General features: G+C 38.6%; 1 protein-coding gene across 7 annotated transcripts in view, besides 2 other annotated features; it reads right to left on the bottom strand.

Annotated features, from left to right (window-relative positions):
* MAP2K6 (mitogen-activated protein kinase kinase 6) overlaps positions 2,729-16,148 on the bottom strand; it is a 139,169-nt gene continuing 125,749 nt past the window's right edge. For all 7 annotated transcript variants that reach the window (NM_002758.4, XM_047436411.1, XM_011525027.4 and 4 more), the window contains one exon: positions 2,729-14,918. In NM_002758.4, the coding sequence (NP_002749.2) occupies positions 14,841-14,918 (78 nt within the window). In that variant the 3' untranslated portion in view covers positions 2,729-14,840. The remainder of the gene's footprint in view (positions 14,919-16,148) is intronic.
* Positions 8,251-8,300: an enhancer, noted in NCBI's record as "active region_12658". NCBI's record gives its function as "activates an Ori minimal core promoter by ATAC-STARR-seq in GM12878 lymphoblastoid cells {active_cell/tissue: GM12878}" and the evidence as "EXISTENCE:reporter gene assay evidence [ECO:0000049][PMID:35858748]".
* Positions 8,481-8,530: an enhancer, noted in NCBI's record as "active region_12657". NCBI's record gives its function as "activates an Ori minimal core promoter by ATAC-STARR-seq in GM12878 lymphoblastoid cells {active_cell/tissue: GM12878}" and the evidence as "EXISTENCE:reporter gene assay evidence [ECO:0000049][PMID:35858748]".

Below are 16,148 nucleotides of genomic sequence, written 5' to 3'. Positions count from 1 at the left end.
GATGGAATTATCCAAATCAAAAGAAAAATACTTCAAAATCTAATTATATAAAAATCAAGAATGGCTGTGGAGAAGTGGATAAAATAACCTTCACATGTGATGTCTGAGAATCATGTTTGTTCATGCCCTCCCTCTCCACATACCTGCACCCTTATAGGAACTTAAAATTTGTAATGTCAAGGAAGGCCTGTCACTTAAGAATGATGAAGGATTATGACAGTCTTGATACAGTTTAGGGGAGAAGGACTCCAAAGTCAGCATAATAGAGTTCATGGTCCCTGGGAAGTCATTTGAGTAACGTACACAGAAGTAGAGTGAGCCCTCTCCTTTGGATTCTAACTCTTGAAATGATTTAAATCTGACGTGAAACACCAAGGGCTTTTTAAAAATCTACTTCTGATTCAGCAGCATCAGTCTGTTTAAGAAGCAAACTAGAATCCCATTACTGGATATACAACCAAAGGAATATAAATCATTCTTTTACAAAAATATATGCACGCATATGTTCACTGCAGCACTATTCACAATAGCAATGACATGGAATCAACCCAAATGCCCATCAATGATAGAATGGATAAAGAAAATGTGGCACATATACACCACAAAATATCATGCAGCCATAACAAGGAATGAAATCATGTCCTTTGCAGGGACATGGATGGAGCTGGAAGTCATTATCCTCAGCAAACTAACACAGGAACAGAAAACCAAACACCGCGTGTTCTTACTCATAAGTGGGAGCTGAACAATGAGAACACAAGGACACAGGGAGGGGAACAACACACACTAAGCTGGGAAGTAGGGGGTGGGGGGAGGAAGAACATTAGGAAAAATAGCTAATGCATGCTGGGCTTAATATCTAGGTGGAAGGTTGATAGGTGCAGCAAATCACCATGGCACACAGTTTACCTGTGTAACAAACCTGCACACCCTTCACATGTACCCTGGAACTTAAAATAAAAATAAAATTAAAAAAAAGTTTGAGAAAAACAAAAGCAGCAAGCTAGAGATAAATGTGTGCTTCCTGGTATAACTGGTGATCCACTCAAACAGGAACACTCAGGTCTAGCAATTTTTCTCTAAACTGGATTAATATGGATACAAGTCAAATGGATCTAGTCCCTCCATTTATAGGAGAAATCAGAGAACTGTGCCTTGTACTATATTTACTTGTACTAAGTACAACTATATTTACTTGTACTAAGTACAACCATATTTACTTGTACTAAGATTTTCTTTCCCAGAACATCTGGATCATGGCACTGACTGATCACGTAAAGCAAATATCCTAATATTACACCTATAGGACCAGGAAAAACTTGAATGACTAGTTTGGCCCCATAGTTCAGTGTCAGCAACACATGGAAGCCAAAAGACAGTTGGTCTTAATCTTTTCATTTGATCCATCTGGACTCATCCTCACCAAAAGCCATCTGATTTTAATAATAAAATCTTGGCCTTCACTTCCAACCTAGGCTGCCTATAATAATATTGAGTCTGAGGCTGGGCACGGTGGCTCACACCTGTAATCCCAGCACTTTGGGAGGCCGAGGCAGGCGTATCATGAGGTCAGGAGTTCGAGACAAGCCTGGCCAACATGGTGAAACCCTGTCTCTACTAAAAATACAAAAATTAGCCAGGGGTGGTGGCACATGCCTGTAATCCCAGCTACTCAAGAGGCTGAGGCAGGAGAATTGCCTGAACCCAGGAGGCGGAGGTTGCAGTGAGCCAAGATCGCGCCATTGCACTCCAGCTCTGGGCGACCAAACAAGACTCTGTCTTGGGGAAGAAAAAAAAAAAAACAAATATATTGAGTCTGAAGTAGACTAGAAATGATTTTTTTTTTTTTTTTTTTTTTTTTTTTTTTGAGACAGAGTCTCACTCTGTCATCCAGGCTGGAGTTCAGTGGCATGATCTCTGCTCACTGCAACAACCTCCGCCTCTCAGGTTTAAGCAATTCTTGTGCCTCAGCCTCTCAAGTAGCTGGGATTACAGATGTGCACCACCACACCCAGATAATTTTTTGTATTTTTAGCAGAGATGGGGTTTTGCCATGTGGCCTGGGCTGGCCTCAAACTCCTGAGCTCAGGCAATCTGCCTGCCTCTGCCTCCCAAAGTGCTAGGACTACAGGTGTGAGCCACCACGCTTGGCCTTGAAATGATTTTCTAATGAGTCTTCAGGGCGGCTGATATGGTTTGGCTGTGTCCCCACCCAAATTATTTTAGCTCCCATAATTCCCATGTGTTGTGGGAGGGACCCAGTGGGAGATAATTGAATCATGGAGGCAGTTTCCCTCATACTGTTCTCATGAGAGTGAGTAAGTCTCAAGAGATTTGAGGGTCTTATGAGGGGTTACCCTTTTGCTGGGCTCTCTCTCTCCTCTTGTCTACCACCATGTTGAGACATGCCTTTCGTCTTACACTGTGATTGTGAAGCCTCCCCAGCCACGTGGAACTGTGAGTACATTAAACCACTTTCTTTCGTTAATTGCACAGTCTCAGTTATGTTTTTATCAGCAGCATGAAAACAGACTAATACGACTGCAATACTGTTGTGTTGTTAGGTTTTGTTCTAGTCTGTTTGGGAAGTGCGGTGGTAGAAATAGGAAAAGCATAGAGAAAGAATAACAAGAATATATAGTCCAGGAAAGCTTTTACCGGGAGAGCCTTTTATACCATGTTCCTGGAATATAGGGTTTCCAACAACTCAATTAATGTACAGACTCACTACGCTTTTTAAAATGTCTTTTATTGGTTGTACATTTTCTTATGAGATCAACACACCATTTTCTTTCAAGAACACTTTGCTCCTGAATACTTAATGTTACTTGTCCCAGCTATGAAAGCCATAGCAAGCACTTTGACGGAAAAAGGTGGTTGGGTGTTTTTTTTGCCATTATCACTGTCTTCTCTATCGTTAAACTGTTGTTTGAGTCAGTTTGTAGATTGACACAACATTGAACACAACACACACGGTGTGAAGTTTTACACGCATATACACACATCTGGAGACCAGTTACAGTGTCTGCAGCTTGTTCCTTTCTCCTCAGCAGTATGAAACTGAAGAATATCCTGAGATAGGAAGTCAACGTGAAAGTTCCTCATTAAAAGAGGAGGTCAAGCTTGATTTAATCTCCCAATTTCATTTTCTTTTTGAGGTGGTCAGAGGGGACCCAGAACGGTAGCCAGATGAACCGTGGAACAACCACATGGTTTAATATCTCAGCTGTTTCCTTGGTCAAAAACACAGATTCACAGAAATATTTCATGGCACATCAGAAACCTACTTTTTAAAAATATGATCTTGGATTAGAAAGGAGGGAAATGAAAAGGTTGTTTTTTACTAGATGTGATGGGAAATCCCACCACAGAATGACCTACATACTTGTAAGGCAAAATTACCCTCACCTTTGGCAATTATTATACTTCCTTGTCTACTGACTGATAGAAGTCAATCATCCAGTCTTGTCCCCCATCAATGTTATTTGCATGAAAAGATGAATTTCTCAAGAATAGGGACCCAGGACAGGTGGCTTCTCCAAATGTTAAAAAGAAACATAATTTCTTTAAAGCTACATTATCCCTCAATTCAGTATATTTCTGGGAACACTAACAAAACTTAACCTATGTTAACACCAATGCTTATATCTACTGCAAGTCCTGCATACTGGCTATTTCCTTGGCTTTGGGATTTGGAGATAACATCATTAATAATGATAAACAATAGTTCAAATGAAAAAAAAAATGCACACAACCTGGGTGACAGGAAAGCTAGCCTAAAATGAAAATGTTTGGAGCCACCAAAGCCAACAGGCAAAGAAAACAAAGGCATGCTGTCCCACAAAACAGGTATTTTAAATACAATCCTGAGGCCTTATTGAAGTTATCACTTGATGCTCATATATTTCCATATAGAAAAACACAGTTAGATATACACCCCCAACTCCTTCTTTCCTTCTTCAGCTCACAAGCAAAGAGTTCCCAAAGGCCAGAATTTAAATTTAATATTCACCTCAAGAGCATGGAAACATTCCACCCACATGCTTTACAGGTCTTTACTTTATAAACTTCTAATGAGTTTCATGCTCTACAGTTCAGCCTGCCTCATTCACAAAGAGACAATGCGGCAATCCGTAAAGAAGAGATGATTCCAACCAGAAAAAGCTGCACCTGGCAGGAAAGATGGGAGCCTCAATGAGGGAATCCACTGAATAGCATTCATTCTTTTATTTTAAACTCTCCAGAGACACTACTTTGAAGTGCTGGAGGTGGGTTTTGAAAGACAGGGGTGCATAGGACCTCTCCGATATCCTTTCAGAATATTTCAGGTACCAAGAAGAGGTAGCAAGCTCCTAACTAGCTTATGGAACTACCTCATTCTAGCATCAGGGCATTTTCCACTTGCCCAAAGGCTCTCTTTGCAATAAACATGGTTTGAAAATAACTTTAGGGTGCAACAGGCAAACAATCAATCATATATACAAATAACATGTGTCTATCACAAAATTTACAGAAGGTAAGAAAACGTGTTGTTGTGTTTCCTTACAAAGTCCATATTAATAAACGGAAGCAGCATTTTCAGCTATGAAACTGAAGCACAAAGAAAGCTGAAGAAATCCACCTCTTTTATTAAAATTCTTGTAAAGTTCAATTCCATAAAGAAATTCTAGTGTCTCATCAAGATTTTCACAAAATATATAGAAAACTGTTCATGTATTTAAATAATGTGAAACTACATTCCTAACACCTCTTTCAGCTTTAAATGACTCAATTTGATGATTCAGTATCATAGGAAGTATGTCCTAGTTGTGTAAGCAAATTACACAAAAAAATACTTTTCCTCTAAAAATACCTATTATTCTATTAAAACATCATTTCAGTTCATATAGAAAATCAGTCCACTCAGAAAATAAATTTGAGACTAAAGAATAAATCAAACACAGAGGTAATACAGGAGATAAACACAATTTTCTTAATCAAACCTCCTCAAGTGGCTTTTATGCAGATTGGCCAAGAACACTATAAACTGCTGCCCAATGTAAATTTTTGGCACATATAGTTTTCTAAAACAGTTGCTGTGAAACCCCAGCTATTAAATTTGCTCTAGTGGCAAACAGAACACTGTCAGAATTCACCAGACTCTTTATGTGTGTGTACAAGGCACCTGATATGACTCAGCTGGTGTTTAAGCATTCCCTTGTGTGCAGTTCATGACAGATACACCACCATAGCTTCCAACTTCTAAAGGCTGTACCAGGTTTCCATTACCCTTCTCCACCTACAACACCTTTGCAAAAGGCAGCAAGGGGTAGCTCTGTTAGCTTGAGTCTCAGACCGTACCCCTGTCTGTGTCAACATTGTCCAAAGGATTTGCTTTTTTCTGATAGGTCAATGAACAAAAACGGTAACTCCTGCCTCTGCAAACCTAGAGATGCAAAAATTCCACTGCATATGAAGAGCCCAGTCACTCCACGCCTTGTCACTGAGACGGTGAACAAAGATCAGGTCATTCTCAACCACTTTAGGAAAATGTCGCATGTAAGGATCTATAATGCATGGCTGTCATACAACAATTCCTTGCATTTTTCTTTCAAAATGATTTATGCTCAATTAAAATTAAATGACCCTGTCTTCTGGCCACCTATCTCCCTATCTCTGTGAGCATACTCAGTACGGCAAAAGCCAGGGACTCACAGCCGTGGTTGGCTATAAAATTTCCCATATTTGAGACTGTTTAAAGTCCTAAAGTGGTCATTTAATCCAACGTTCCCAAGTTTTTAATGGCCACAGAGACTTCCAGTTAAAAGGAACAATACTAGAAGCCAGATATTCTGACTGGAGGTTGACAGAGGTTCAGATAGGCAGAGTTCACCTTCATCACACTCTTTTTCCCTTCTGTTCACAAGAGACCCTCAGGGGCACCACTGAATATGGTCTGAAAACCACAGCTGTACCTCGCTCTTATCTCCCCAAGTATTGAACATACAACAGGACAAACAACTTGAGATCAGAAAAATAAAATAAAATAAAAAACTACTCCTTCCCCATAATTCATGGCTTCTGAAACTTCAAACTAGCTTTCAGTATTATATTTTAAAATTATAAAATCTAGTTCATCTGGTGAAGACCTGTAGTGTATTTCTAAGTACATTCACAGTTCTCTGAATTATGGGAAAGAAGCTTGCTCATCAGGTAACCTTCTCTAACATTCACCTTTCTTAAAAATGTCTGCCCTCTGGAACAAAAGGTTAAGGAGCTCAGGCTTTGGTATTTGTGTTTCTTTACCCAGAGGTGGCTGATGGATGAGGGGTATATTCTCAAAATGCTTTAGGCATATCGTTCCTTTTTCTCAACCATCAAATTTCCCGTTAATCATTTACTTTTGTTCAGCCATCTGTCTGAAAAGGTAACTCTTTCAAATCAATAACACTAGGGATACAAAAGAAAATGTTCTGATGCCCAAATTAATGCCACTCTCTGAATCTTCTTATAGCTCAGTATTTTTAAGGAAAAATAACAATAAAGGTTTGGCTTTTTGATGGGTTTTCCCATAGGAAATCATCTCTATAATATAGCAACACTGCAAATAAATTAAAAGATATACTTGTCTGCCAGCTTTTTTTTTTAATCAGCTTGCTCCTTCAAGGGGTTCCTAATTTAGCACCAACCTTTGCATTTATCACTTCTTCCAGCCCCCAAACATGACTTCACATCACTGTTCAGCCTTATATTCCAAAGTCCAGCAACAATCCCCTAAGATAGTGGTTTGGCTTACTTTGTTGAAATATCTTGCAGACTCCAACACAAATATTGATAGTGACCAAATGATGCAAATTACCCATTTCTGACCACAATAGAATATTACTTAGTGAAATCAGATACCCAACCTTGCTGCTCATCTTTAAAGGAAGTTCTTATTATAAGGTCGCATGTTTGGAATGAGGGTTTTGCTTAAACTTTTCTTAGATAGCCCTTAAATTTTTAAGAACTGGAAACAATAGGGTTCATTTAGGCAGCCTGATACAAAATTGTTGACTTTGATTTTTGTTATATGAAAATGGCCAGATCAGTTCCTTACCACAAAAGCATTCAGTCAGTCCAGGTCATCTGTGACCGGCAGAGAAATAACAAGCAAATTGTAGCAAAGGAAAACAGAAAAGACTTTTGAAGGCCTGGTCTAAGCTACAAACTCCAGAGATTACTTAGAAAGTTCTGTTTCCCACATTAAGACACAAGTAAGTGCCTAAACTTGCCAATACGCTCCCTGAATTCAGCCTCCAGGCCTTAAACATTAGCCTCCTTCCTTGAAAAAGACCCTGAATCTCAGAAATGCAAAAGTGTAAACTGGAGAAAGCTATGGAGCACATCAAGATTAACTGTTCACAAAAAAATTCTGTTCATACTGACAACATCTAAGAAAGAAATACAACACAATTCTTCCAAAATTTAACTGTAAACTCCCAAAAATAAAGGGCTCAATGTCCAAGTTCAAATGATAATACAAGTGATGTCAAGATACTGAAAGTCCCAAGGAATTAGGCTGAGTATTTTTAAGTTCTATTAACACGTGTTTGTGTTACAAGATGATACTGATTTCTTACCAACAAAAATTCCCTACTACAAAATTTTTTACTTTATGTTTCTGCTTAGGCTAGCAAGTGCCTTCATCACCTCTATAGCAAAGAGGCTTTCAGAGGAGTTTTGCTTGAAAAAGAAATCTGGGTCAGAAACTGAAAAGATTACCTTCCACTAAAGCCTTGATTTCAAACTACTTCATTAGAAAAATCTGTAATAGTACAATATTTGCATAGCTGTAAACAGTGACTTTCTAAACCTCAGAAAAATAACACATCTTCTATGTAGTCACCAGGAACAGGTAGTGAGTGATGTATTTGGTGGCAATGTGCTTCCCCTGGAAGGATAATTTCATTTTGAAGGCTCTGAAATTCAGGTTTTATTTCCCTAGGTGAAGAGCAAACATTCTTTTAGGTAAGTTGCTGGATCAAATACTTCAATATGCCCTGTTAAGGAGTTTCCAAGTATCATTCTAAGCATAATGTATGTTTGCCTAATGGTGCAGCAGGAAAAAGAATATTTCTGAATAATAAGGAGACTATAGCTTTAACCAAGATGTGTGCTATTGTTCTGGAAGAAAAAAAAATGAGAAAGCTTCGGTCACTGGCAGACTGTCCTTTTTATAGCATTCTGTATGGCAAAGAGGGTGCAAGTCCTAACAGAAGGTGAAGCAAATTACATAGCTGTTCTCGTTCTATAGGGAAGACAAGATTTCCACTAGAGGCTTCAGGGCCCATAAATTCAACTAGGGCCAGCAACCCAAGAAAATCACATCAGAAAGGAGGCATTTTGCATAGGCCCCTTAAAATTGAAATTTACTGATGATTTAAAAAAAGAGAAGTACTCCTCTCACTTTTGTGGGACAGCACAAAATGAGTAGGCCTGAGTCTTCTGTCGCAGTGAGAACAGGGAGCTTTAAGAACACCTGAGAACAAATTTTGTGACTTCAAACTACTCTTTCCTACTTCCTTAAAATGTGAACAAATAATTGAGGTGGCTAAGTTGAAAAAGGTTAAGAACTCTATCTGCCTTCTTCTACGTTTGAGGTAAGTCTGACCTCCCAAATTCCCCAATCTCAGTACAAGTCAGGGAATAGAGAGATTGACTAGTGTCTGGGTTCGTGATTCTCCTTGTGTATAAACCACACTACAGAAAGAAAGAAAGAAAATGCAAATAACCTAAGCCAAGGATACAGTTAACAACTAAGAGAACTGTGACATTTATTTCCAAATTGAAGTAAATTATGTTGGTGATTGCATAGAAATGGAAAAAGTAAGTACTTCAGTTTGATCTGAAGAAAATTGTTCTATCAGCTTCCAGAACAATTCATACTTACCTGAGGACATTAACAAGCAACTTTCATGGGACTAAACAGTCCTCATCCTTTCTGAATCCAGTTTCCTATGTCCATCTTCCTAATCTGCCTCAACAGCAGCTGAGCTCAATAGTCACTAAAATGGAAGAACTCTACATATCTAGTTAATCAGAGTTTTATATTTAATGCTCTAAGACTGGTGTTGGCAAACCATGGCCTGTGGGCCAAATTTGGCCCATTGCTTGGTTTGTAAATAAAGTTTTATTGGAACACAGCCACCAGGCTCATTCATTTGTGTATTGCGTATAGATGCTTTCATGATACAACAGCAGAGCTGAGTAACTGTGACAGAGATGGTATAACACACAAAGCCAAAAATATTTACTATCTGGTCCTATACAGAAAAAGTTTGCCAACCGTGGTCTAGGATGTCACAGTCAATATTCTACAGAACAGAGCTACTAACCCCGTGGAGTATATAAACTGCAACCCCCTCCCAACAACAACCAAAAAAAGTTTGCAAAATTATGTGCTTCATATACAATGTAAATTTTCCTGGGGAAAAGGTCCTAGCTTTCAACAAATTCCCAAAAGAATCCATAGTACCCAAATTAAAGCCAAAAAAAAAACCCAAAGAGCATCTTTAGCTGTCAGCACATTTAACAGTGCTAGAGGCACTCAAACACAAGAGGAACATAGACCTCCGAGAATAAAATAGCTTTCTTTCTATTCTATCGGGTCTGGTAGCTCCTTCTTCCTAGATTTTACTCTGGCATTTTTCCATCTGACTATGTAAATTTTCAGAGGCCTAATTGAAAACTGCACCTTCCATTTGAAAAGTTAAAAAAAAAAAAAGTCCTATGAAGTTGACATTTATTCAAATACCTTTTCACTTGCTAATTCATTAAAAGCAGAAGATCCTTTGAGCCAACAAATCCCTCTTCAAGTCATAGATAGATGTTAAGGCAAAATCCCAGCACAATTGACATTTAATCCATTTTACTAGATCTGACTACCAGCTCCAATAAATTTTGTAAATATATAAATCTTAGCTTCGAGGGCAGAGGGAGTAACACAGCCAAAACAGCATTTGGGTAGGAAATTAGGAACTAGGTATCCATTGTCCTTTCAGGCCAAAGAAAAAAGTGTTTTGTTAGACACTTTTAAGAGAAACAGAATTGTTTCTCTGAGCATAATTAATAAAGCCCCTTGGTCAACAAAGACATTTTAGTGATAAATTATGCAACATTAACCCCTCTCTGCCTCCTTTGAGATTATAATTCCCAAGACACTAAATCAAGTTCAATGAGAGAAATCAGGAACCCTGTCCATCTTAGCACCAGCCTCCTCCAATGCTGGGGCTTTTGAGTATTGCATTTTTCTAGACTAAGACACTACGGCATTGCAGGGCTGATGAACAGCAAAGAAGAGTAGGGTTGCAGTTAAAAAATGAATTAGCCAATGGCAAGCAAGAAGAATACTAATAATAACAAAACAAAGAGTGAAATAATGTGGAGAGTTGAGTGGCCAAGAATTTCATTTTGAGGGTCACCAACAGCAGACAGTGCAAACATTGGCATAATAGATATCTGTGGTCCCCAAATTATGTACTGAGCTATTCCAAGGTACCACAGAACACACACAGGCTAAGCAAGATGTTGTACATTTTTTTTTTTTTTTTTTGAGATGAAGTTTTGCTCTTGTTGCCCAGGCTGGAGTGCACTGACACGATGTCGGCTCACTGCAACCTCCGCCTCCCGGGTTCAAGCAATTCTCCTGCCTCAGCCTCCTGAGTAGCTGGGATTACAGGCATGTGCCACCATGCCCAGCTAATTTTGTATTTTTAGTAGAGACGGGGTTTCATCATGTTAGTCAGGCTGGTCTCAAATTCCTGACCTGAGGTGATCCACCTGCCTCAGCCTCCCAAAGTGCTGGGATTACAGGCGTGAGTCACCATGCTCAGCCAATGCTGGAAATTTTTAAGGGAAATATAGTGATATATGCAGGACACTGTGCAAACTGCTATTATTAAGCTGTTGGGACCTAATTACTTAAAACACTGAACTATTAAGTATATATTTTGACCTGGGGCACCATGAAAAAAGTACCAAGACAACTAATGGCACCCTGAACACAGAAAGTTTAGGAATCTCTGGCACATACAATTTTTTGTTAGGCTTGAAGGATATACAAGAACTGTAAAATACAAACAATTTCAAGCCATGCCCATACATACTCGTTTCCATTTCAGATGGCTTAACTGTGATAAAAGCTGCTTATTTAACCCATTTGTTCTGATTAAATCAGTGTGACCAAACACAGTCTTTAGAAAAAATAGATTATTCCCCCACATCAGGACCTTCAATCATAGAAGATAGGTGACTTTCACTTGCAAAATCCGTGATGACCTGATATTTTATCAACAAACATATACCTTTATGGGGGTTCTATCTCCTTCAAAGTAGTCATTTTGGGAGATTACACTTATTCTGGTGGAAGAATGACTCTGGTTAAAAATAATCATGCACTTTGGGCAGGGGTGGTGGGGGCGGGGTGTGGAAATCTTCATTTGAAATTATCTTCAGAGCCCATGACATGGCGTTTTACAAAGAGTCAATGATGCTAAAACTCCAGCTCTGAGGGAAGATTTAACTTCTAGAAATTGTCAAACACAACTTTGTGCAAAATCTGATAAACAAGGCAGGTAAATCAAAGAGGGAAACATCTGCTAAGGATTTTTGTAAAAAGCAAAACAAACAACAACAAAACCTAAGTAAGAATTCTCAAATGATGACACACATCTCAGAGGAGGGAGTGGATTCTAAAGCCTTTTCTGAAAGAGGAGTGGCAAAAATAATTTAATAGCATTATGAATATAAATATGTAGTCTCTCAAGATGGCTACTCTGGTGGGCAATATTCACTCATACGTACAAACATAGGGTAATAGTCTTAAAAGTTATGCATATTACTTTTTTTGGCACACCTCTTAAACCAATAATATCAAAAAAGATGGCTATTTTAATAAACATTTTCAAAAATTATAACATGGACAATTATATGATACAAAATCAAATACATCTGGGGAAATAAGCATGATCTCTTTTGTAGAGCTATACTGATTTTGTAATACATTGATAGGTGTAGACAGGGCTGATATTCAGATGGTCTATGCTGGTGGGGCATTAACTATTTTGAGGGTCATCCGTGAACACAGATGTCTTTATATATAAGTCTATATGTACAGAATACTCCCCATTTATATATAGTTTAGGTATCTTGATTTTTTCAAAAGTTGGTTGATTGGCACTTACAACACAGTTTTCCAAAAACAAAACCATGCTCTAAAATTTAGTCTTGTGAGGCTATCAGGTCATTCTTTTGACTTTACCGTGTAAGATATTTAATAACAGTGCAAAATATTGCTTCTCTGGGGAAAAGGTGTTCTACACTTCCTATCAGTATCCCAGGTACATGCCTTCTCTCAGAGTGACAAAGAGATTTCCACTGATGAGGACAGGGAAAGAAATAGGACCTGTTTTTGTTACTTTCTGCAATGGCATGTTACTCCCTGCAAATGTTCAAAAGAAAGTAAATTTAAGTCAGTTCTCTTTAGAAGGTACTAGATAAGTGTTCTGAACCCAGCTTCACATCAGAATCACATGAAGGTGTGTAAAAAACAAAACAAAACAAAAAAACACCAATTCCTAGGCCCCACCAGTTAAATCCAAATCTCTGGTGGCTGGAACATTGGCAGCGACAGTGTTCACAGCTCCCAGATGGTTCCAATGTACACGAGGGTTGAGAACCATAGACTAACTTTTTCTCTACTCTACTATTAATATGATTGTTTTTGCAACTTTGGCCTAGGTTCACAGATGGGAGAGGCATACATATGAGAAGTTACACATTCTGTTTAGAATGTCTCAAAGTGGAAAAACAGGTAAGAGTAATCGGACCTAGACCAGAGAGACAATTTGCTCTACATCGTTCACCAAAAGCTAAAATGGAGTAACCGGATTTTTTTTCCTATTGCTTCCTGTTTTCATAGGTGGGTGAATAAAGTAAGGAATACAATTGTAATTTTTCTCTTGATCTCCAAGAGAAGAACTTCCAGATTTAGGAAGATAGATGGGAAAGTGAACAGCCATAATCACTAGGGTGATACTCCTTTTCTGGCTAGAATAAAATGAGGACAGAGGTAGCTTCAGAGCAGAGGAAGCTCATGTTTAATCAAGCAGATATATCTTGGAACTGAATATGAAGAAGTGTTCGGAAGTGTCACGCTCATTCTGGGCAGGAGCAACTCCTCCTTGTCAAGAACAAGGAGGAAAAAATGCAAACAGAGAAAAACATATGATTGCACTTCAAAATCTAAAAGGGGAAGGAAGAGAGGATTCAGGGAAGCAATCCTCTCCATATTGAACTTGAGGCCAAGAAAGAAAAAATAAGGTTTTTTTTTCTTCTTTTTAAAATCAAAACCCTCTGTCCTTCCTTGTCCAAAAGCAATGCTTCCTGGTTATTTATCATAGGTCTATATTTTCCCTGTCAATTACTTCACTCCTTGATCATCAAGAAACCTAGAGCTACAAATCATAGAACCTGTGGGTATATTTACCCACGAGAAAGAACTTTTGCTGTTTAGTCAACTTGCTAGGAACTCCCAATGAAGCTCATCTCCTATAGAGGAGCCAGCTATTGCACGCTGCTGAAGAAAGATGCGGCCTCAACGCAACTTGTGGTCATCTGGTAGTCCATGCCCAGGAATTAATTCAACCTTTCCCATTATTTCCTCATCTTATCAAAGAATTACTCACTACCTTTCATTTTCTCCTATTCTAGCCCTTCTATGAATAGTAAGGCTGCTTCACTGAAGAAGAAAACAAACAAACAAAGCCAAAGAGTACATTAACTACAAAGGCAATCCTTACAACTTACACATGGCAGGAGGGACAAACGCAGAAGAAGGCACCATTTTTTTCTGTGATTTAACACATGTCCCCCTCAAAACTGACAATTGTCCTCCTTACCAAACAGAGATGCTCATAGAAACCACTTGGCAGGACTTGTGAATTGCCAAATAGACACACAAACACACACATACACACAGGTAGATGAATAGGTAGGTGGATATAAAATCATATTACAAATCACTTTCCACTAATACTATACCACAAGTGTCAGAAGAACCAAATGTTTTACTCTTTGAGCTGTTATATGAGTGATTTTTATGTTTTCCAAAGTTGGGAAAAAGAGTATGACCAGAGCATCTTGTCACTTCCCCTAAAAGATGTGGTGATCACCCAGGATTGGGCAGATGTTTGCAAAAATGGCAGCAGTCACAACAGCTGGAACAGACATTTCACAAGAAGAGCTCCTTTTTGATATTTTTATAATATTCTCAAAGATGCATATTAAATAATTTCTTCTGGACCACAGACACAATTGAACTTAAAAAATAAAAGCCCTATAAATATTGCTAACCCAACCTTATATTTTTTTTTTGAATCTCCCTTCTTGTATAAAATGGAATCTTTTCAACCAAGCACTTAAACATAAATATTAAAATAATAAATGGGACAAACTACAAATCTACTTATAATTTCATCACTACCGTAGCACCTTTTTGTCAGGGCCAATGCATTCATTTTGTAAAGAATAAGAGAAGTCTGAGAAGCTTGAGGACTCATATGACACATCATTAAATATTTAATCACCTTTTGAAGTCCTAAGCCTTTATCATAATTCATCCATCTAGACAGTTCATTCTATACTATAGATTCCAAGGCCCCCTTAAGAGGGGGAGTAAAAAGAAAATTGGGAGAGAAAACCCTCTGAGAGGCAGGGTTAAATTATCTCAAAGATGACTTTCTATTGATGCTGTAGTGAACTTGCTTCACCCCGAAACCCACCAATCCACAGTAGGGTCAACCGATTAAGTCCACTGCTTTTTAGTCTCCAAGAATCAGTTTTACAAAAGATGCCACATCTGTTCCTTTGGATTCATGTAGGGTGAAAAATGGATGTTGCTGGAAAAGAAAAAGAAAAAACATGGTATTAATGTCTTACTGACAATCAATATATGAGATTAGCAAATGAATAGATCTGCTTGGTACAGGGATTAAGTATCCCTATCAGAGCTAGGCTGGGCTTTTCCTACCCTTTCCAAAATCAAGCACACATCTAGTGATGCAAACATTTTAAAGATATCTCTTAGTTGTCACTCTTTCCATCTTGATATCTCTAGGTTTCCACTATATTAAATTTTAAAAAAAAGTGTAATTATGCTACGTAAGTCTCATCTACAGCAAAATACAAAGATTGACAAAAAACAACCCAAACTCTGATTTACAAATAGCCCTGGGCCCCACAAGGTCATTTTAGGCTAATATAGTAGTAAGATAATAAGACAATTCATAGGTGTATGTACTTTTTTCTTTTTGAGATGGAGTCTCGCTCTGTTGCCCAGGCTGGAGTGCAGTGGTGCGATCTTGGCTCACTGCAAACTCTGCCTCCCGGGTTCAAGTGATTCTCCTGCCTCAGCCTCCCGAGTAGCTGGGATTACAGGTGCATGCCACCATGCCTGGCTAATTTTTTATATTTTTAGTAGAGACAGGGTTTCACTGTGTTACCCAGGATGGTCTTGATCTCCTGACCTCGTGATCTGCCAGCCTCGGCCTCCCAAAGTGCTGGGATTGCAGGCGTGTGCCACCATGCCCGGCCAGCAGTATGCACTTTTATTTCTCAGGAAAAAGATGATGGAATGAGAAGCCAATTTTGTTGAACAGTAAACGTGCAAGGAAGGTAGCCCTCGCCCTTGACGTTGGAGAATTGGTTTAGACTAAAACAGTTAAAGCCATTTGCCAAGCCACGAGCTTTATTTATGTCTCTCCTGATGAAGAGTTGATCCATCTGAAAAATAATGTAGACTGCCAAACTCTAGTTATGTGCAGAGAAAACTGAACTCGGAGATTAAAGATTGAAAAGGGAAAAGAAGAGTCTCTATCCTCACAGCTCAGAACAAGTAAACTCTAAAAACATAACAAGTCTTATGCTTTGCTAGGGGAACAAGCATGGTATGTGATTCAAGAGGCCATGCATTTCAAAACAATCCTGAGCAGGAAGCCATTTTCTCTGCACTAGAACAATTCTCCCCAGATTGCTCAATTTTGTTACAATAAGTGCCCAGCTCTCACAGTGGAACCTGCCACCTCTACTTAGAAAGATATATCAGGTCATGAGCCACAGTTCTTATAGTG

Source organism: Homo sapiens, chromosome 17, assembly GCF_000001405.40.
Source record: "Homo sapiens chromosome 17, GRCh38.p14 Primary Assembly".
In the NCBI taxonomy this organism is placed as follows: Eukaryota; Metazoa; Chordata; class Mammalia; order Primates; family Hominidae; genus Homo; species Homo sapiens.
Note: the sequence above shows the minus strand (reverse complement) of the source record. Positions and strands in the feature narration are given on the sequence as shown.